Source organism: Homo sapiens, chromosome 17 (genome assembly GCF_000001405.40).
Source record: "Homo sapiens chromosome 17, GRCh38.p14 Primary Assembly".
Classification (NCBI taxonomy): Eukaryota; Metazoa; Chordata; class Mammalia; order Primates; family Hominidae; genus Homo; species Homo sapiens.
In genome coordinates this window covers 11,975,966-11,997,167 of record NC_000017.11, presented here as the reverse complement: position 1 = coordinate 11,997,167, position 21,202 = coordinate 11,975,966, and the positions used below count along the sequence as shown (strand labels likewise).

The following is a 21,202-nucleotide window of genomic DNA, read 5'->3' as shown; positions in this document are numbered from 1 at the left end:
GGCCGGGTCTCTGCACTGGGACCGAAAACGGGCTCCTCCCCGCTGTCTTCCCCTAAGGGCTGAAAATGAGTCTCTGGAAGAGGAAACCCGATGGGATGATGCCTGGAGTCTCTCCCTCTCTCATCAGAGTGCAGTCGGCATTTGGGGGGCGCATGGTGGAGAATACATATCCAATGAGCAGCGCTGCCCTGGCCTCGAGCACTAAATGCCAGTTCCCCTAGCTGCTTGTGACAACCAGAAAACGCCCCAACAAATCACCAGACGTTGGCAGTTCTCCCCAAAGCAAAGGCTTTAGAGCTTCCTGGGTTAATCTGGCTGCCACTTGTGAGCCTCGGAGGTTCCTGATCTGTACACCAGGGTAATTGTGGGAATTGGAAATACATGAACCGAGCTTAATAATGAGCCGATACGTAGTAGGTGCTTAACAAATGGTTACTTATATATGTAACCATGTATGTAACCACTTGTGTATATTACACCTAGAATGCACTTTTAAAAATTCATTCTATTTGTTAAAGGTTTAATAACAGGTATAACAGACAACCTTATTTTTTTTTCATAACTAATGGGGGCAGTTCCTCATGAGGTTATCGGAATATAAACTCTATTAAATTTTTAATACTATATAAAGTAATTTAATTTTGAATAATCGAGACATTTTTCTTACACACTACCTGGGAGTATAATATTACTAACAAAAGATTTAAGTATTTTATAAAATCTGTAGTTTTTCCAAAATGTCATTTCTCTTAAATATTATCTAAACTGCTATCTTAATTTAGGAAACAGATAAATTGCAGTAAGTTTACAGGTCGGTATCTTGCTATCTAAAATCTTGCCGCTTGTTATTTGAAACTCTTGAGCCAAATAGGTTGGATTTACAAAGCAAGGTATTTTTAAAAATATATTTATTCGTTTTTTAAGATGTTATTTGAAACTGTAGGTTTACCTCTGAGCTAAAGCTGCTTTTCAGGTGGTTTGATAATGCTGTCATTGTCACTCAGTATGAAAACATATTTTAATTTCCTTTGTGATTTTTTTCTTTGACTATGGGTTAAGAGCATTATTTAGTAATTTCCATAAATTGGGATTTTCTAGTTATTGTTATTGATTTCTACTTTAATTGCACTATGATCAGAGAATATATTTGAACCCAGGAAGCTCTAAAGTTTTCCATTTGACCTTTCTGGTTTTGTTTCTCTTGTGTTCCTTTTCTATCAGATATTGGGTTTTTGAGTGTTTTTTGGTATTGCTTTAATGGCTTTTTAGCAATACCACTTTGCGTAATATTTTTAGAGCTAATTTTAAGATATCAGTCATTTGAAAATTATGCATATGGTCTGTTTTGATGAATACTCTTTGCACTTGTAATGAATGTATACTCTGCAGTTCTTGGGTCTAGTGTTCTGAAAATGTCAATTAGAGCAAGTCGGTTGATAGTGTTCAGATTTTTTGACTTCACTGACTCTTTTTTTTTTTTTTTTTGAGATGGAGTCTCCCTCTGTCGCCCAGGCTGGAGTGCAGTGGTACGATCTTGACTCACTGCAACTTCCGCCTCCCAGGTTCAGGCTGTTCTCCTACCTCAGCCTCCTGAGTTGCTGGGATTACAGGTGCGCACCACCATGCCCAGCTAATTTTTGTATTTTTAGTAGAGATGGGGTTTTACTGCGTTGGCCAGGCTGGTCTCAAACTCTTGACCACAGGTGGTCCTCCCGCCTAGGGCTTCCAAAGTGCTGGGATTGCAGGCGTGACCCACCGCGCCTGGCCTGGGTTTCTTTTTTTTTTTCTTGCAGTGGTGTGATCTCGGCTCACTGCAACCTCTGCCCCCTTGGGTTCAAGCAATTCTCCTGCCTCACTCAGCCTCCCTGGTAGCTGGGATTACAGGCATTCACCACCACGCCCGGTTAATTTTTGTATTTTTAGTAGAGATGGGGTTTTGCCATGTTGGACAGGCTGGTCTTGAACTCCTGACCTCAAATGATCCCCCTGCCTTGGACGCCCAGAATGCTAGGATTACAGGCGTGAGCCACTGCGCTCAGACCTGGGTTTCTTTTTAAGCAAAAAATAAATTTAATGAGGACCACATAAAAAACATTTGGTATTGGATTACGGTTGCAAGGGTCCATTTATACAAGGATTTTCATCTGCCTCTGTGACTCCTGCGACTGCAAGACCAACCCTTCCTTCTCCTTCTCCTGTTCCTTGTCCTCTTCAGGCTACTCAGTGTGAAGATGATGAAGGTGACCACCTTTATGGTGATTCACTTCCACTTAGTGAATAGTAAATGTAGTTTCTCTTCCTTATAATTTTCTTTTTCTTTTTTTTTTGAGACGGAGTCTCGCTCTGTCGCCCAGGTTGGAGTGCAGTGGCACGATCTCAGCTCACTGCAAGCTCTGCCTCCCAGGTTCATGCCATTCTCCTGCCTCAGCCTCCCGAGTAGCTGGGATCACAGGCGCCCGCCACCACGCCTGGCTAATTTTTTGTATTTTTAGTAGAGAAGGGGTTTCACCGTGTTAGCCAGGATGGTCTCGATCTCCTGACCTTGTGATCCAGCCACCTCAGCCTCCCAAAGTGCTGGGATTACAGGCGTGAGCCACCTGGCCTGGCCTCTTCCTTATAATTTTCTTAATAATATTTTGTCTAACTTACTTTATCACAAAAATACAGTAACATGCAAAATGTATGTTAATCAACTATTTAAGGCATCAGTCAATAGACTGCTAAGCTTTTGGGGAATCAGAAGTTATATATGGATTTTCTACTGTGTGGGGGGTTGGCGCCCCTATCTCCTGCATTATTCAATGGTCAACTGTAATTCTTTTGACTTCGCTTTTTCCTTTCTCAGGCCCTTGAAAAAAAATTGTTTTTCTTTTTTAGTTTTTAAATGATTTTCCAATGTCGGATAAATTATTTTGGTGAAACGGTAAGGATGAAGACATTGTTTCCTACACCTTAAGAAATAAGCAGCTACAAAAAGCTAGAGTATTGTACTGATCTCTGATTAAGCCAGATCCTCAAGTGATGGGGTATCTTTTTTTAAAAATTGCTGTGATTAGTCTTAGGGAGAAATGATGACCACCAAATTCTTCATAACATTTAAGGATTTACCCAGTAATCCTATATTGTGATTACTTGCAAGAAAGTTAACTAGAAGTAGTGGATGATCCTTTTTAGAATAATATTATTTGCGATTTAATATTTCTCTTTCTACTGTCTTAGTTGTGATCTTCTAAAATTTGATACCATTCACATAAAATAGTGATTATTTATATCAACACCATAGGAGTATTTTCAAGGTAGTTAGTCTTCTCAACCCTCTTTTTTTTTTTTTTTTTTTTTTTTGTGAGACGGAGTCTCTCTCTGTCCCCCAGGCTGGAGTGCAGTGGCGCGATCTTGGCTCACTGCAAGCTCCACCTCCTGGGTTCACCCCATTCTTCTGCCTCAGCCTCCTGAGTAGCTGGGACTACAGGTGCCCGCCACCATGCCCGGCTAATTTTTTGTATTTTTTTTTAGTAGAGACGGGGTTTCACCGTGTTAACCAGGATGGTTTCGATCTCCTGACCACGTGATCCACCTGCCTCGGCCTCCCAAAGTGCTGGGATTACAGGCGTGAGCCACCATGCCCAGCCTTCTCACCCTCTTTAACCCCAAGGTTGAAAGTGTCAGGTATGATACTTGTTTTTTTCATAAATTCTCAAATAGACCTATTTTAATATGGCACTCAAAAGACCTCTCTTGGAAGTTTCATTACACCTTTTTGGTATACTTTTGGAAGTACTTTTGGTACCTTTTGGAAGACTTAACTTGTTCTCTTTAACCTCCTATTTATTACAGAAGCATGTAGGCATTAGCTTTTATTCCTAGGGCATTAATATCTTTTTCCAGCTTTATTTTTTAGTATGCAGATATATAGATGAAGATGTAGAAGTGTTTTGTAGAAGAGCCGTTTACCTGGAAACCTATAGTGAAAAAGTTTCGTATGGTGCATTTTATTCTTCATTTTGTCTGGACATTTGAAGACCAAGAAAGAACATTATAAAATGGGCAGGGAAATGGTGGCTGTTTAGATACAGTATCAGTAGTTTGCTTTGTGGCTTCAAGTTTATAATCTTTCAAAATAGAATCGTGTATCCATTGAGCAATTTCAAAAGCTCCATAGTTGACCCCATGGCTTCTCGGGTAGGGCATGTGAATTTGTTCTTTCTGAAAATGTGTCCCCTTCCTCTGTGTAGCACTCAATCTCATTCCCTTTTTAGTGTCCTGGTGAAGACCTAGTTCTTGCCGGAGACAATTCCACTGCAGAAGCACTTTACTTAAAAGGACTTGCCAGGCTGGACAATGCCCGTTGACTTGGGGCAGGCCCTAGGCCTGCTGCCATCGCTGGCGAAGGCCGAGGACTCCCAGTTCTCAGAATCAGATGCTGCCCTTCAAGAGGAACTCTCCAGCCCTGAGACCGCACGCCAGCTTTTCAGGCAGTTCCGTTACCAGGTGATGTCTGGGCCTCATGAGACCTTGAAGCAACTTCGGAAGCTCTGTTTCCAGTGGCTACAGCCAGAGGTTCACACCAAAGAGCAGATCCTAGAGATCCTCATGTTGGAGCAGTTTCTGACCATCCTGCCTGGGGAGATCCAGATGTGGGTGCGGAAACAGTGTCCAGGAAGTGGAGAAGAGGCAGTGACCCTTGTGGAAAGCTTGAAGGGGGACCCCCAGAGACTGTGGCAATGGGTAAGCAGAGGGTATTATGATCTGCGAGTGAAACACAGGGCTCCTCTCTGGTCCCATCAGGTGTGTTGTCTTTTTTCTGATACCACTTATGACACAAAATGGGTGGGGCTTTTCACACCAATGGCCAATTCTGTGATTCTCTAACACCAGTACAGTGTCCAGCAATTCAGTTCTGAAGCTAACTCTGGAGGTTCAGGGCTCAATCCAAGACTGCTCCTGTTCTCAGATGCCAGTCACAAGTCCCAGGGGCCACCTGTACTTCTGACAAATTGGCTATAAATTCGGAGGTTCCCACAGTCTTCTCTTCAAGTTTGATAATTAGTTAGAATGACTTACAGAACTCAGGGAAGGATTTTACTTCCTGTTACTGACTTACTCTAAAGGATACAACTCATTAACAGCCAGAGAGAAGAGCTGCATAGAGCAAGGTGTGGGGGAAAGAGCGTGGAGCTTCCATGCTTCTCCTGGCGTGCTACGTTACCAGTACCTCCATGAGGTCACCAACCTGGAAGCTTCCTGAACCTCATGGTTTAGGGATTTTTATGGAGGCTTCACTGCTTTGGCACACTTGATACAGTCATTTGCCGTTGGTGATTGAGTATCTCCAGCTGCCCTCCCCTCCTCAGAAGCTGGGTGGAGATACTGAAAGTTCCAACCTTTTAATCTCAAGGTTGGTTCCTCTGGCAACCAGCCCCCATCCTGAAGCTATCTAGGAGCCTAGCATAAACTCAGGTGTGGTTGAGAAGGGCTCCTTATGAATAACAAAGACTCTTCTTTCACCTGTCCCTCAAGAAATTACCAGGGTTTTAGGAGCTCTGCGGGAATGGGAACTGGGGACAAAGACTAAATGTGTATTTCTTATTATACCACAGCTGGGTTCCCCCATACCTCACGTAATTCTAACACTCTCTGACTCTCAACACTCTTTAGCTATTGAGGATTGAGGGTAAAGTCTCCCAGCGCATTCCACCTTTAGACTAGAATGTTTGAGAAGTTATTTAAAAGATGCCTGAGTTTTCATTGGTGGCGCATATCCAGTAGAAGCACGTTAGTGGCATGTCTTGAAGGTCTCCCACGCCTGATTCGGGCCTCAGCTTTTGGTGTCTTTTGGGACGTTTCTTTCCCTGGTTCCTGCTGGACTAGAAATAAAAGCTGGTTTTCTCTTTCTCCACATCCTTAGAAATTGTCTTATGATCTGTTGTAGAGAGTAAGCTTTGTGTCTTTTAGAGATCCTTACTCTGGATTCTTCAGTAATTACTAATTAATATATGGTCTCTAGATCAGTATCCAGGTTCTAGGACAGGACATCTTATCAGAGAAGATGGAATCTCCAAGCTGCCAAGTGGGGGAAGTGGAGCCCCATCTTGAAGTGGTGCCTCAGGAGTTGGGACTTGAGAATTCATCCTCAGGGCCTGGGGAGCTTCTGAGCCACATCGTGAAAGAGGAATCTGACACAGAAGCAGAACTAGGTGAGGATGGTGCTGTGTGGTGTTCTCTTGGAGAGATTTTGGGATTGTGATTAGTAGGCCTAAGTGAGTTGAAATGGTATGCTGCTCAGATTGGCGTATCCCTGAGAGGTTTGCAAACAGGTTAGACCTAAATAAACCGCTCTTGTTTGGAGAGTCAAAGTCTGTGTTTTAAACTGCTTTATGACTGGGCCAGACCATTTGGATTTTGGCTCTGAGGAAGGAGGTGGGAGAACATATGGGTGAGACTGGAATGTTGGAGGGGGTTGGAGTGTGTCAGGGAGATAAACACAAGTCTTGAAATATAGATGGCAGTACAGGTATTGTTCAGGTATTGTTCTGATTTGTGAAGATTGTTATCTGCGCCCTCTGGGGAGTGGTTAAGGAAGACATCCAGATTCTGAAAACTTCCTCTCCTCACTTCAGCCCTGGCTGCCTCCCAGCCTGCCCGACTGGAGGAAAGGCTGATCAGAGACCAGGACCTCGGAGCCTCACTGCTCCCAGCAGCACCTCAGGTGAGCTGACGTACAAAAGCGATGAAAAGGAAACTTTTTACCTTTTATAATCTCATCCTCCTGCTTCTCTTCACCCCATTCTCCATCCTGAGGAAACCTCTGATCTGCTGTCTGTCACCATATGTTAGTTTACTTTTTCTAGAGTTTTGTAAAAATAGAATCATGCCAAATGTACTCTTATCTTTGTTCTTATGCATATAATGTGTATATATATACATATATATATATTTGCTTATTTCAGTGTATTCTCATTTTTTAAAACAATTTGATTTTGATGTGCCTTGGAGTCATTTTCACATTTCATGTAATTGGGATTTATTGAGTTTCCTAGCTCTGTGGGTGTATGGTTTTCACTAAACTTGGAAAATTTTTGGCCATTATTTCTAAAGCATTTTTTTTTCTGTCTCGCTTATTTCTCCTCTCCTTTAAGGACTTGGGAAATAATACCTGTGGAATGTGTATAATGATAATGTATATACATGTATCAGAGCTCTTCAAGTTGTCCCACAGCTTACTGATTGTTTTTCTGTTTTTGAAGTCTTGGTGTTTTATTTTGGACAATTTCTGTATGTCTTAAAGTTCATTAATCTTTTCTTTTATAGTATCTGATCTGCTGTTAATCTCATCCAGTATATTTTTCATTCTGTTATTGAAGTCTTGGTCTTTTATTTTGGACAATTTCTGTTTGTCTTCAAGTTCATTAATCTTTTCTTTTATAGTATCTGATCTGCTGTTAATCTCATCCAGTATATTTTTCATTCTGTTTTTGAAGTCTTGGTGTTTCATTTAGGACAGTTTCTATTTTGATGTCTTTAAGTTCATTAGTCTTTTCATCTCACAGCATCTAATCTGCTGTTAATCTCTTCCAGTATATTTTTCATTTTAGATGAATTTTTCACCTCTAGAAGTTTGATTTGGGGCTTTATTGTATCTTTCATGTCTATACTTAATGTGTTCAATTTTTTCTCTAGCTTCTTGAACATATGGAATATAGTTGTATTTGTATTAATATCCTTATCTACTGATTACTACCTGCATTGGTTCTGGGTCAGTTTTGATCAATGATTATTCTCATTATGAGATGTATTTTCCCACTTCTTTGTATGCCTGGTAATCTTTGTCTTTTTCGTTTGTTTTGAGACAGGGTTTCACTTTGTCTCCCAGGCTAGAGTGCAGTTGTGCAGTCATAGCTCACTGCAGCCTTGACCTCCCGGGCTCAAACCATACTCCTGCCTCAGCCTCCTGAGTAGCTAGAACTACAGGCATGTGCCACAATGCTTGGCTAATTTTTTTTTTTTTTTTTGAGACAGGGTCTTGCTGTGTTGCCTAGGCTGGAGTGCAGTGGCGCGATCTCAGCTCACTACAACCTCCGACTTCTTGGTTCAAGCAATTCTCCTGCCTCAGTCTCCTGAGTAGCTGGGATTACAGGCGTGTGCCACCATGCCTGACTAATTTTTGTATTTTTAGTAGAGATGGGGTTTCACCATGTTGACCAGGCTGGTCTCGAACTCCTGACCTCAAGTGATCCACCCAGCTGGGTCTCCCAGAGTGCTGGGATTACAGGCGGGAGCCACCATGCCCGGCCTGCTTGGCTAATTTTTAAATTTTTGTGTGTCTTACTATGTTGCCCGTGCCTGGTAATCTTTGATTGGGTATCACATTGGTGGGGTGCTATATATTTTTGTATTACTATAAATGTTCTTGAACTTTGCTATGGGGTGCAGTTATTTGGACACAGTTTATTACATGGCACCAGAGAAACATTTAGTCGAGGATTATTCTTTCCATGCTAAGGCACTTCCCTTCTGAGTATTCTGAGTAATCTGATGCCCCTTCATATACCAGGTTTTCCACTTTGCCTGGTGGAAATACGAACTGTTTCCAGCACTGTGTGAACTCAGGGGATTGTTCCCTCTGATTCTTTTGGGTGGTTATTTTCCAGACTTTGCGGGGACGCTCTGTAGATCTCTGGAGCTTTCTCTTTGTGCAGTTTCCTTCTCTCCAGTTTTTCTACCCTGTCGATTCTAAGGATCTTGGCATTTCCAGACTCTGAGCTCCTTCTGCTCAACTCAGGGAGGCTGCCTGGCTCAGCCTGGGTTTCCCTTCCTGTGCTGCTGCCTGGATCCTCTGTCTAGGCAGTAAGTTTGGATAACTAGAGCTCACTGAATTTGCTTTCCCACTTTCAGGGATCTTGTTCTGCTCTGCTTGTGTAATGTGAAATGTCTGAAAACTATTGTTTCATACATTTTGTCCCATTTTTAGTTGTTTCAGGCAGAAGGTAAATTCAACAATTCCTAATACTTCATTTTTGCTTGTACATAAAAGTCTCTGGGACAGATTTATGTTGATATTTAGTTAACAATTTTGAAAAGTTGTATTTTGTAAAAAATTTTTTTTTCACGAACCTATACATCTTAATTAAAACATCATTTAAAACGTTGAAGGAACTCCTCTTGGGACTTGCCTTGCAATCTGCTGTAGCGTGAATATGAAAATAGAGAAGGCAGTAGGTAATGCTGTGTTTCAGACCAGGGTCTGAGCTTCAGCTCTCCAGGCTCAGATATATAAAAACTAGAATACCAATTTCATAGTTTACTCTGGGGGAAGGTGGATGGGGAGGTGGCAGGGGAGAGAAATATCTTTTTAGTGAATCAAAGGTACCCTTCTGCCTGCTTTCAAGGTGCCCAGAAACCAAATTGTTAAGCAAGATGTTGCTTGGTGAAAAAGATTTGGGTGTTCTGTGGAATATGTCAACCAGGCTTGGAGGATTATTGTTGTTTCTGTAGTAGGTACAGAGTATCCTCACCTGTTCTGGATAACTTAAAGTCAAAAGATTTAAAATGCTCATCAGCACCAATTTGTTTTTTACAACCGTATTTACATATATATGTGTGTCTGTATTTCCCTACCTTCAGATGATAACTAGTTAGCAACCATTTAAGTCAAATGAACAAAAGTTGTCCCTACCCAATCTGAATATCCCCTCCAAACTAACAGCAATTATTTGCATCAGAAAGACTTTGATATTTAATGGAATCCTTTGGAAGTAAAAGGAATTTTTAAATTAATCACTCCCTCTAATCTCTTAAATAAGTGAGGAACTTCATAAATAATGCCAGAATAATGATACGGTATTACTATCAGTACACAGTAGTTATTTCATTAGTGGAAACCATGACTCGGTTGGAACCTCACATAGACTCCAGCAGTGCATTTACTCACCTTCCCCTGTTTTCAGACTTAAAGGAAAGGAACAGCGTGTAACTAAGTGTAAGTCAGTTGTAATATCTTATAAACCCACAAGATGGTGCCAGTTCCACACAAAAATAGAATTTTCCCATCAAATCCCATGTGTCTGTCTTTCAGGATAGAAAGTTAGGTTTTTCCGTCTCTTCTAAATATGAGAAAGAGGCAAGCTGGCTGCCATTGGCGTCTTGCCTCTTCAGTAGGAGGTTTTATTCGAAGTACCCAGCTTCTTGGCAGTTTCTTGAGTAAATTTGTGTTTTTAAGCTGGAGGTACCCTGTTAGTGCTCCTGAAGCAACTTTTCTGGTTTTTGAGTGAGCTGATTTTGACCCTTGGGGGTTTTGGTGGCTGTATCCTTTTCTGCCTTGTACTCTTCTTGGTAGTTACTGTTCTGGTGTTCATGGAATAGATCCTGTGTCAGCAAGCCAGGCAGCCAGGCAGATATTACTGTGCTTGGCAAGTGCATCCTTTTCTCTGCTAGCACTGAAGCCAAGGTCCATGTGTTCTGACCACAAAGACTGAGAACTCCTGTGTTCAGCAATGTTTGCTCAAGTGATTATTTTCAGGAGGTTGTTAAAATAGCTGCATTCACAGAAGATTAACAGAATAAGCTGCTAGCTGTTTATACTTTAAAAATTAAAAAATTTAAATTAAAGTTCACATTAAAAATGTGGTTATAGTTAATAGTTGACTGTGTAATTCAGTATATTGAGGTCGCTTTTCAGCTTCCTATCCTTCCCACCCAAAAAAGTCCAAACCCTCTTTCGTTTGTGTGTTTGGCTTAGCACCTGCTAATTGAACAGTTTTTGGTATCTCTTTTCTCCTTGAGCCATTTCCACTTCCCTTTGATGTGCTAGGGGGCAGACTTGACTTAGGACTGAGAGTGTATTAGTCCGTTTTCACACCGCTGATAAAGACATACCTGAGAATGGGCAGTTTACAAAAGAAAGAGGTTTAATTGGACTTACAATTCCATATGGCTGGGGAGGCCCCCAATCATGGTGGAAGGCAAGGAGGAGCAAGTCACATCTTTCAAGGATGGCGGCAGGCAAAGAGAGAGCTTGTGCAGGCAAACTCCCATTTTTAAAGCCATCGGATGTTATCTTATTCACTATGATGAGAACAGCACAGGAAAGAACTGCCCACTTGGTTCAGTTATCTCCCACCAGGTCCCTCTCACAATACATGGGAATTATGGGAGCTACAAGATGAGATTTGGGTGGGGACACAGAGCCAAATCATATCAGAGAGTGCCTTCCCCAAACAGTATATTGTGTACAGTAGGAGGATGACTTTGTAGTTCCTTTCCTCATTTCTATTCCCTGAAGCCTGGCTATTCATGTCTATCCACTTTGCGGTTTCTGAAAGTGTGCAGAATCCCTTAATTCTCTCTGCAAACCCTTGGGGTGAGACTGGGAGACTGCATGTGATGGTAATAATATATATTATCTACTGAGGACCTGTTTGCTAAGGGCTTTATTTCACCCTGGTAACATATATCAAGTGCCTCTTCTGTCCTGGACAGGGTCTTGGGAACTGGGAAGGTATTATACAATGGAGAGGATGACAGAGTCCTTTTCTCATGGAGCTTACATTGCTAGTAGAGGCAACAGTTAATCAAATACTTACATGTGTGCACATACATTTGTACATACACATAAATAGTTAATAAATGGATAAATACTATAAATAAAAAAAGTACAGTGTGCTATGAAAACAGGTGACACTTGCATTATTTATCTCAAACCTCACAACACTTTTTTGAGTTCAGTGCCATCATTAGGTGAGGCCTGAAACTCTGGAAGGTTAAATAACTTGCTCAAGGTTGCACAGCTAGAAAGTGGCAACGTTGGGACTTAAAACTCAGTACGTCTGACTCCAAAAAATGGGCTGCTAATCCCTTTGCTATACAATCTGAGTTTCTAATAGTCAGCTTCTTGGTAGAAGACTGAAATTTGAATTCATGAAAGCAGACCCTAGCTGTATGGTATTCCCAGTTTTGAGTCTCCAGTCTGTCGTTTCATAGGAAAAGCAGGGCTTCTTTTGGAGATTGGGACACCTTGCTCCAGAGAACCTACCAGTTTTCCACTATCTGGAAAGAAAACTAATTTAATGTTAGACTCTAAATGCAGAACTTTAAGATATTTCAAGTATGGCTATAACATCTCTCTCTTCTCTGAATATACCAATCTTTGTTTCAGGGTGAAGCTTACAATGCAGTTGACTCTTAACTACATCTTACTGATTCGCACTTGCTTTTCCAACAGATTCCTTTTTAACTTCTTTCTTTGCTTTTTGAATTTCCTGATTTTAATTAAATAGTGGGACTATCAGACTCTTCCTCCTCAAAGACGTCTAGTACAAGCACTTGAGTTAAAAAACAAAAACAAAAACAAAAAACAAATAGTACCGGCCAGGCAAGGTGGCTCACACCTGTAATCCCAGCACTTTAGGAGGCCAAGGCGGGCAGATCACAAGGTCAGGAGATCGAGACCATCCTGATGGTGAAACCCCATCTCTACTAAAAATACAAAAATTAGCCAGGCACGGTGGCATGTGCCTATAGTCCAAGCTTCCTCGGGAAGCTGAGGCAGGAGAATCGCTTGAACCTGGGAGGTGGAGGTTGCAGTGAGCAGAGATTGCTCCACTGCACTCCAGCCTGGGCGACAGAGTGAGATTCCATCTAAAAAAAAAAAAAAACCCAAATAAAAACAAATAGTATGGAAAAGGCTCCTGCCCTCTATACGTTCTCCACTTTTAAATAATTCACCTGAAGAGGTGCAGAATGTAAAGCCTAGATGTTTTCTTACCAAGGAAAGAAACACTGATATAGGGACTGTTGTTTTCCCTTTGGCCTCTTTGTCCCTTGAACCACTCTGCTGGGATTTCTCAGGTCTTGCGATGGCCAGGATCCTATGGCACGTTTCTGTCTTCTCAGCTTTCCTTTAGGCAGGGAAGGCAGGTTCAAACACCTTCATTGGAGTCATGGTATTGTATTGCTTTTTTTTTTTTTTTTCCAGGAACAGTGGAGACAACTGGATTCCACTCAAAAGGAGCAATACTGGGATCTCATGCTGGAGACCTATGGGAAAATGGTCTCAGGAGGTGAGGGTGTGGGTTAGTCTGATGGAAGGAGGTAGAAGGACTGGAAAACTGTGAGGCATTTTCCATGCACTTATAGAGACATCTGCTGAACTGAAAATCGCCAGGTGAAAGAAATCGTTAGGGACACAGTTGGGAACTGGGGCAAGTTGGAGCTAGCAGAATTAACAGTAAGAACTTCCTTGTATTGAAAGTATTCCGTGTGCCAGGAACTGTTTGTGGGTACATTGCACGGAGTAACTTCTTTAATCTATGAAATTGATGATGGTATTCTCATTTTAAGCCTGATGAAAGTGAGTGTCAGATCAAATACTTACCCACTGCCACATAGCTCATAAGTGGGCTGAGTTATGATGGAACTCAGCTGTGGCTGGTTCTGAGTCCATGCTCTTTTCTACTAAACCACACTTGTCAACCAACCATTGGTGGGATCCCCATCATGATTCTCACACCAGCCTGCCAGGTAGTCTACAGACCTTTCTGTCCACCTGCCTAGACTCTTCTTTTCATGGCCTTTACCATCTGTCAAGGTCATCCTGTGAGTACTGGTGTCTTACAAGCTCCACACACTGTTCTAAGGTGAGTTTCTGCAAGTGTCCAGAGCCTTCATATTTTCCCTCATGCGTAGGGTGCTCCTTTGAAAGACACAGCTTGAGCTCCCAGTCTTCCCTATTCATCCAGGCCCACCATACATCTTTCTCTCTATAGCAGGCATTTCCCATCCCAAATCTGACCTGACTAATTCAATAGAATTTGGGGAAGAGCTGGCAGGAATATACCTTCATGTCAATGAGAAGATCCCAAGACCCACCTGCATAGGTGAGTAATCTTTCATTGGTCTGGAATCATTTCTGACTGCCTGTCATTAAATTGGAGGTGATTGGGGAGGTGGTGAAGGAGGTCAGGGGAGGCAGAATATTCTATTACGTTGGTTATAACTAGCCATGATCTGATTGGTTTGATTTAACTATTGAGATTGAGTCTACTTATCTCTGGCTATAGGGCTGTTGACACATATTTAACTATGGAAGGAAGACCACACATCAGACCTGCTGCCTTTAATCTTGTCTGTTATTTTAGCTTTCTTTCTCTGAAAGAATTAAGATTCACACAAATTAAGACCAATACAAATAGAGTAGAATTTCATTGCAAAGGATTATGTAGCAGCCATTATTACCCTTCCTAGCAAGAAGTTAGAGTATCTAGACATAAAACAAACAGAAAAAAATGTTTTATCTAATCCCTATGCACCTAACACTTCTTAAAACAGCAGCATCAACAAATACTTCGTATAAATAATTTATTTAAGACTAGGGAAGAAGAAATCTTAACTTGTTATCTTGTAAAATAGTCATTCTTTGCTTTCTACACTTTTTCTGAAACATTGAAGTTACGTAAAAACTAATTGCGAAACCTACACACACACACACACACACACACACACACACACACACACACTTTTATATATACAGTAAATCCCAGAACCTTAGAGGAAGAAGAGGACCAAGGATGGGAATTGTAGGGCAAGCCATTCTTTCTCCCCAGTGGCATCTAATTAATTATTTTCTTTTGCTAATATACCACAGAGAGAGCAATCATTAGCTGAGATATTTGATTTTAATTTTACACAACGTATTTATCAGGCCATTTCACAAGGATTTCTTCTGGAACAGAATTTTTCAAACTGCATTGCATAACCAATTAGTGAGTCGTGAAATCATTTGATAGAGTTACAACCAGCGTTAAAAAAAAACACAATAAGATTGAAGAGGAAATATCAGATGTAGGGGTGGGTAGTGTTTCAGGAAATATTTGTTTAAAATATGTGTGCATGTACTGTGTTTCAATATTAATATATCGATTACTGCCTTAGCTTGGGCTGCTGTAACAAAATACCATAGACTAAGTTGCTTAAACAACAAACATTTATTTCTCACATTTCTGGAGGTTGGGAAGTCCAAGATCAGGGTGCCAGTATGGTTTGCTGACCTCGCTTTTCTTGCTGTGTCTTCACATAGCAGAGAGGGGGGTTGGGGAGAGGAGAGGCGGAGAGGAAGGGAGAGACTGGGAGAGGGGGAGGTGAGAGAGGGAGAGGAGGAGACAGGAAACTAATCCCATCATGAGGACTCCACCCTTAGGACCTCATCTAGACCTAATCCCTCCCTAAGGCCCCAGGCCCCATCTCCAAATACCATCATACTGGGGGCTAGGGTTTCAACGTATGAATTTGGGGGATCACAGTTTAGTCCATAGAACTTATAGTGGGTTGTAGTCAGAAAAGGTTGAAAATATTGCTTTGGAGGTTGTTGCAGTAGGATTTTTTTTTGGACAGGATTTATTTTTAAGACGAGTTTTGGGTTCATAGTAGAATTGAATGGAAGCTGCAGAGATTTCCCATATAGCTCCTAGTAGTCTGACCTTATTTGCTATATATAGCTCACTATATTCCTACTCGTTTTTTGTTTGTTTGTTTTTCCTTCATCCCACCTCTGCTGACATGGTCCCATTAGATACTGCCTTTAACCAGATGTGAGGAGTCTACAAGGGTCATCCTGCCTTGATAGGCAAAAAAAAAAAAAAAAAAAGCTATTATAGGTTCCTGTCTCTACAAAAAATGCAAAAAAAAACAAAAAACCGGGCATGGTGTGAGCACCTGTAATCCCAGCTACTTGGGAGGCTGAGGCAGGAGAATCGCTTGAACCTGGGAGGCGGAGGTTGCAGTGAGCCGAGACCGCGCCATTGCACTCCAGCCTGGGCAACAAGAATGAAACTCTGTCTCAAAAAAAAAAAAAAAAAAGAGGATATGTGGAAAGAGGTTTAGGAAGATGAATCCGGCAGCAACGTGTAGGACAGATAGGAAGGGAACACTTGGAGGAGAGAAGTCTGCAGGAAGTCAGTGCAGGAGTCGGGCTGTCCGGGGAGGAGACCTAGAATAATTGTGGAAGTCACAGTAACCAAATGGGAAAGGCCTGGTTTGAAAAATACAACAGTTTGCCAGTTTACCAAATCTGGACTCAGATCAGGGGCAAAAGTCAATATAGAGAGTGAATATGCTGTTATAGTTGACCATATGGAAGAACAGCTCCTAGTTAAAACAGGTCAGCAGGGGGCAGTCTCAAAAAGCCATATACTTACCCTGCTAATAAAAATCCAAAGGATTAAAGTTTTTAAAGTAGTTATCTGGAAGAATATAACATGCAAGAATAGTTTTAAAAAAATGTTTTGAAAGAAGAATGTTTCATGAATGTTAGATCTGAAAATATTGTCTGTTGTATTATAAAGGTAAAAAATCATTAAAATAGTGTGATTCTGATATAAAAATAGATGCACAGATCAATAGAACAGAAAAGGGAGCCTAGAAAAGAGATGCTGGTCTGTATAAGAATTTAGCATGATCAGGCTGGTGCGGTGGCTCACGTCTGTAATCCCAGCACTGTGGGAGGCTGAGGCGGGGGGATCATTTGAGGTCAGGAGTTCGAGACCAGCCTGGCTAACATGGTGAAACCCCATCTAACTACACTACAAAAATTAGCTGGGCATAGTGGCGGGCACCTGTAATCCCAGCTACTTGGGAGGCTGAGGCAGGAGAATCGCTTGAACCTGGGAGGCAGAGGTTGCAGTGAGCCAAGATCACGCCATTGCACTCCAGCCTGGGTGACAGAGCAAAACTCCATCTCAAAAAAAAAGTTTTCATGACCATGACAGATAAATGATTATTTTTGTTGATATAGAAAGAGTTAAAGAAAGTTGATAAGAAAAATGTGCTTTCCCAGTAAAATATGGGCAGCAGTCTTCGAGTATGAAAAATAGCTCATAAATGTGATAAAGATTCATCCTTTCATAACTTAAGAATTAAAATTTAAAACAATGAAAAACCACTTTTCATCCATCTAAATGGCATAAGTTTAAAAATATTCAATATTTAAGTATTGAATACCCACTTCCCCCTCTGCCCAATTTCACATATGAGAGGATGGCAGAGTTGTTCTGGAAGTTGGGTTGCCAGTAGGTGTCAAGAGCCTTAATATTTATGCCCGTTGACACAGTAATTCTACTTTGAGAAATTCCTTTGAGATATTGATGAGAAATGTGGGCAAAAACTTATGAAGAAAACTGCTGATCACAGCATTATTTGTAGTCGCAAAAACACAATAAGCAAATTAGATTTCCATGGTAGGGGAACAAATTATATGTTTATTATGACATCTTCTTGATGGGCCATTACTCAGCTCTTTAAAATGATATTTATAAAGGCTTTTTTAAAAACACGAGAAAGTACCTTTGCCATTTGAGAGGAATATATTCTAAGGCTTTTATTTTATTTTATTTTATTTTTAGATTCAGGGACATTCTAAGGCTTTTTGACTTAACAAGTTCAGATCTAGCTCTCTAGAAGATGTCTAGATCCCTGGCAGACAATTGAAAAGACACTAATATGTGAAAGAGAAAGGTAAATGGCATCTTTAGATCTATATAGTTAAAATAATTTATAAAAGTTGAAAATCCTACCACCAAAATAAAAATTTTCTATTTGCATCATTAAGTACTATAACCAAAAACCCAAGTTACGATGAGAAAAACAAACTTCCAGTTGCTAGTGTGATTTAATAAAGGGCATGTAAATACTAGATTCAAGCACAGATCAAGGGATTCACTTTTATAGTAAAGCCCCGCTGCATTGCAGCTGTGGTAAAATGACACGTGCATTTCACAGATTTTGGGCGTCTTATGAATGGGAGAGGGAGACTCTATATTACATTGATTAATGCCACCATTCACAATTAAATGCTCCATAGCTAGATATAGAACTATATGTACAATATGACACAAATTATGTCAGAAAATAGCATATACCTGCATACATATAGGTTAAATTAAAAAGACTGAAAGGAAATGTATGCTCATAGTTGTTATCTCTGGGTAGTAAGATTGAGGCGGATTTGGTTTTCTTCTGTATATATTTCTCTCTCTTCAGTTTTTTTTTTTAGTTACCATATTTATCTTTTATATATAATCAGATAAAAATCACTTTAAAAGCAGTAGTTGCCTATAATATACTTGTTTTTTTCCTGGTCCTTAAGAAATACATGTGGCTTTATTTACGGAGTGATCACTTTATGAGTACTCCTGTGTTGTTTAAAAATCCTCAGCTCCAGAGCTGAACCATTTAGCCTTGAACCCAGGACAGGGGAAGTGAGTTTGAACATTTGGGCCATATGGTAGTTTTCTTTCTCACTTACTAATGCCCTAAAAAAAAAAAAAAAAAAAAAAAAAAGAAAATGAATGTTTTATGATGACCCTCTCTTTGACATATGAGTTAGAAAACAGGGCATAGCACTTGAACCATTTCAAATCTTCTTTCTTCTTTTAGGAGATAGACAAGAGAATGACAAGGAGAACCTAAATTTGGAGAATCACAGGGACCAGGAGCTCCTGCATGCTTCCTGTCAAGCTTCAGGAGAGGTTCCTTCTCAGGCTTCCTTGAGGGGCTTCTTCACTGAGGATGAGCCAGGATGCTTTGGAGAAGGAGAGAATCTCCCTGAGGCTCTGCAAAACATTCAGGATGAGGGAACAGGGGAACAGCTGTCTCCTCAAGAAAGGATTTCTGAGAAACAACTAGGTCAGCATTTGCCTAATCCTCATTCAGGAGAAATGTCCACCATGTGGCTTGAGGAGAAGAGAGAGACCTCCCAGAAGGGGCAGCCAAGAGCCCCCATGGCCCAGAAGCTCCCCACCTGCAGGGAGTGTGGGAAGACCTTTTATAGGAATTCTCAGCTTATTTTTCACCAAAGAACTCACACCGGAGAGACATACTTTCAGTGCACCATCTGCAAAAAAGCCTTTCTGCGGAGTTCAGACTTTGTGAAGCATCAGAGAACTCACACGGGAGAGAAGCCCTGTAAATGTGATTACTGTGGGAAAGGCTTTAGTGACTTCTCAGGATTGCGCCACCACGAGAAAATCCACACAGGAGAGAAACCCTATAAATGTCCTATCTGTGAGAAAAGTTTCATTCAGAGATCAAACTTTAATAGACATCAGAGGGTTCACACTGGAGAGAAACCTTATAAATGTTCGCACTGTGGGAAAAGTTTCAGCTGGAGCTCGAGCCTTGACAAACATCAAAGATCCCACTTAGGAAAGAAGCCCTTTCAATAGCCAGTAACCAAACTCTCTTTCCCCATTTCTATCTCCCAGCCCAGTCACAAAAATACTCAGCTCCATCAAGAGGAATTGTGTCTAAGAGGATACCCCTGTTAATCTCCTTTTTTCTTGGATTGGAGAGGAGAGAATCTGGACATGGCTTTGGACTTGGAGGATATCTTGGATTGGATTGCACAATGGCTTAAATTCTTGATTCTGCCTCAGGAGAAAGAATAGTCTTCATGTTTCCACTCATCCTTCCTTTGGACCCATCGGGGAAAAAGTCTAAATTGGAGATCCAGTTTTAGAAGTGCTTTCTGGGAAGCATTTAATGGGATTAGCTGTAGTCACTGCTTATGGGAAGAACCTCAGATCAGCCCCTTAAAATGAGTTCTAGAGCAGGTCTTCTGTTCCAGAAGGGGAGAAGCATAGAGGGCCTGTGAGCTCACGTGTGTTCTTTGTCATAGGGGTGAAAAACTAACTTCAAGTGTCCCTTGTTTGAAATAAACTTAGCAGAGTCACTTTCTATCTTATTTGTTTGTTCACTGTGTGTTTGACTGTATTTCAAAGCACATTATTTCATAGAAGACCCTAGGCAGTTGAACTCCAAAGTCAGCCCCTATAAACCTCAAGTTCATAATGTAGCAGAACAGTAATAGGAAAGTCCTAGGCTAATGTTCAGACGATCGGAGCTTGGCCAGTGCTGGCAACACCTTTATCTCAGGTAAGTTTGTTTTTGGTGTCCTCTTTCTGAGCCACCCTTCCACTTGATCTCTTGCCTCAAGCTGCCCCTTTCTCCTGGCATCCCACATGGGCTGTCATTTTTGCCAAAGTGTGCTCTATGCTTTAAAATTACCTCTGTTATAGTCTAATTTTGTCTGTGAGTGTTTGTTAGGAAGAAATTGATAGCATTGATCTAGTTTATAATACTCTCTAGTGGTTTATTAACACATGTATCTAAACTGTACAATTGTACTTGTCTCCACAAGTTAGATGCCTCAAAGTGTCCTGCCTGTATAGTGAGTTTCATGCGCGTCCGTGTGAAGAGAACACCAAACAGGCTTTGTGTGAGCAACATGGTTGTTTATTTCACCTGGGTGCAGGTGGGCTGAGTCCGAAAAGAGAGTCAGCGAAGGGAGATAGGGGTGGGGCCGTTTTATAGGATTTGGGAAGGTAATGGAAAATTACAGTCAAAGGGGGTTGTTCTCTGGTGGGCAGGGGCGGGGGTCACAAGGTGCTCAGTGGGGGAGCTTCTGAGCCAGGAGAAGGAAATTCCCAGGGTTAATCACTCAGTTAAGTTGGGGCAGGAACAAATCACAATGGTGGAATGTCGTCAGTTAAGGCGGGGCAGGGCCTTTTCACTTCTTTTGTGATTCTTCAGTTACTTCAGGCCATCTGGGCGTATAGGTGCAAATCACAGGGGATGCGATGGCTTGGCTTGGGCTCAGAGGCCTGACATTCCTGCCTTCTTCTATTAATAAGAAAAATAAAACAAAATAGTGTTGAAGTGTTGGGGCGGCGAAAATTTTTGGGGGGTGGTATGGAGAGAGAATGGGTGATGTTTCTCAGGGCTGCTTCAAGCAGGATTAGGGGCGGTGTGGGAACCTAGAGTGGGAGAGATTAAGCTGAAGGGAGATCTGTGGTAAGGGGTGATATTGTGGGGTTGTTAGAAGAAACATTTGTCGTATAGAATGATTGGTGATGGCCTGGATACGGTTTTGTATGAATTGAAAAACTAAGTGGAATAAGAGAAGGAGAAAAACAGGTATAAAAGGACTAAGAATTGGGAGGACCTAGGACATCTAATTAGAGAGTGCCTATGGAGGTTCAGCATAGTCCTGCCAGCAAAGATTATTTATTCAAGAGTTAAGAGTGGCAGTTTGGGGATAGGACGAGGAGATATCAGCTGTGATGGCTTGGAGAAACAGTGTAAACCGGCAGTGTAAACAAGAGCAGGGCATGTATGAGTAGTTGAGAATGGTGAATAGGAGTATGACTAGACGGAA

The 21,202-nt window shown here is 41.3% G+C and overlaps 1 protein-coding gene across 11 annotated transcripts in view, besides 2 other annotated features; it reads left to right on the top strand.

Moving 5' to 3' along the window:
- The window catches only part of ZNF18 (zinc finger protein 18), a 44,089-nt gene extending 24,360 nt beyond the window's left edge, over nucleotides 1-19,729 (top strand). For 3 of the 11 annotated variants that reach the window (XM_024450911.2, XM_024450909.2, NM_001303281.2), the window contains 6 exons: nucleotides 4,257-4,725; nucleotides 6,005-6,194; nucleotides 6,618-6,706; nucleotides 12,971-13,055; nucleotides 13,761-13,871; nucleotides 18,424-19,729. In XM_024450911.2, coding sequence (XP_024306679.1) covers nucleotides 4,339-4,725; nucleotides 6,005-6,194; nucleotides 6,618-6,706; nucleotides 12,971-13,055; nucleotides 13,761-13,871; nucleotides 18,424-19,211 — 1,650 coding nt within the window. In that variant the 5' untranslated portion in view covers nucleotides 4,257-4,338 and the 3' untranslated portion in view covers nucleotides 19,212-19,729. Of the gene's footprint in view, nucleotides 1-57; nucleotides 359-1,488; nucleotides 1,611-1,641; nucleotides 3,667-4,256; nucleotides 4,726-6,004; nucleotides 6,195-6,617; nucleotides 6,707-12,970; nucleotides 13,056-13,760; nucleotides 13,872-18,423 lie in introns of those variants that run through there. The other 8 variants (XM_047436649.1, NM_001303282.2, NM_144680.4 and 5 more) reach the window with 7 other exon arrangements.
- Nucleotides 5,223-5,877: an enhancer, noted in NCBI's record as "OCT4-NANOG hESC enhancer chr17:11894608-11895262 (GRCh37/hg19 assembly coordinates)". NCBI's record gives its function as "activates a minimal SCP1, AML or CMV promoter by ChIP-STARR-seq in primed H9 embryonic stem cells {active_cell/tissue: H9 hESC(primed)}" and the evidence as "EXISTENCE:reporter gene assay evidence [ECO:0000049][PMID:30033119]".
- Nucleotides 20,303-20,862: an enhancer, noted in NCBI's record as "NANOG-H3K27ac hESC enhancer chr17:11879623-11880182 (GRCh37/hg19 assembly coordinates)". NCBI's record gives its function as "activates a minimal SCP1, AML or CMV promoter by ChIP-STARR-seq in naive H9 embryonic stem cells {active_cell/tissue: H9 hESC(naive)}" and the evidence as "EXISTENCE:reporter gene assay evidence [ECO:0000049][PMID:30033119]".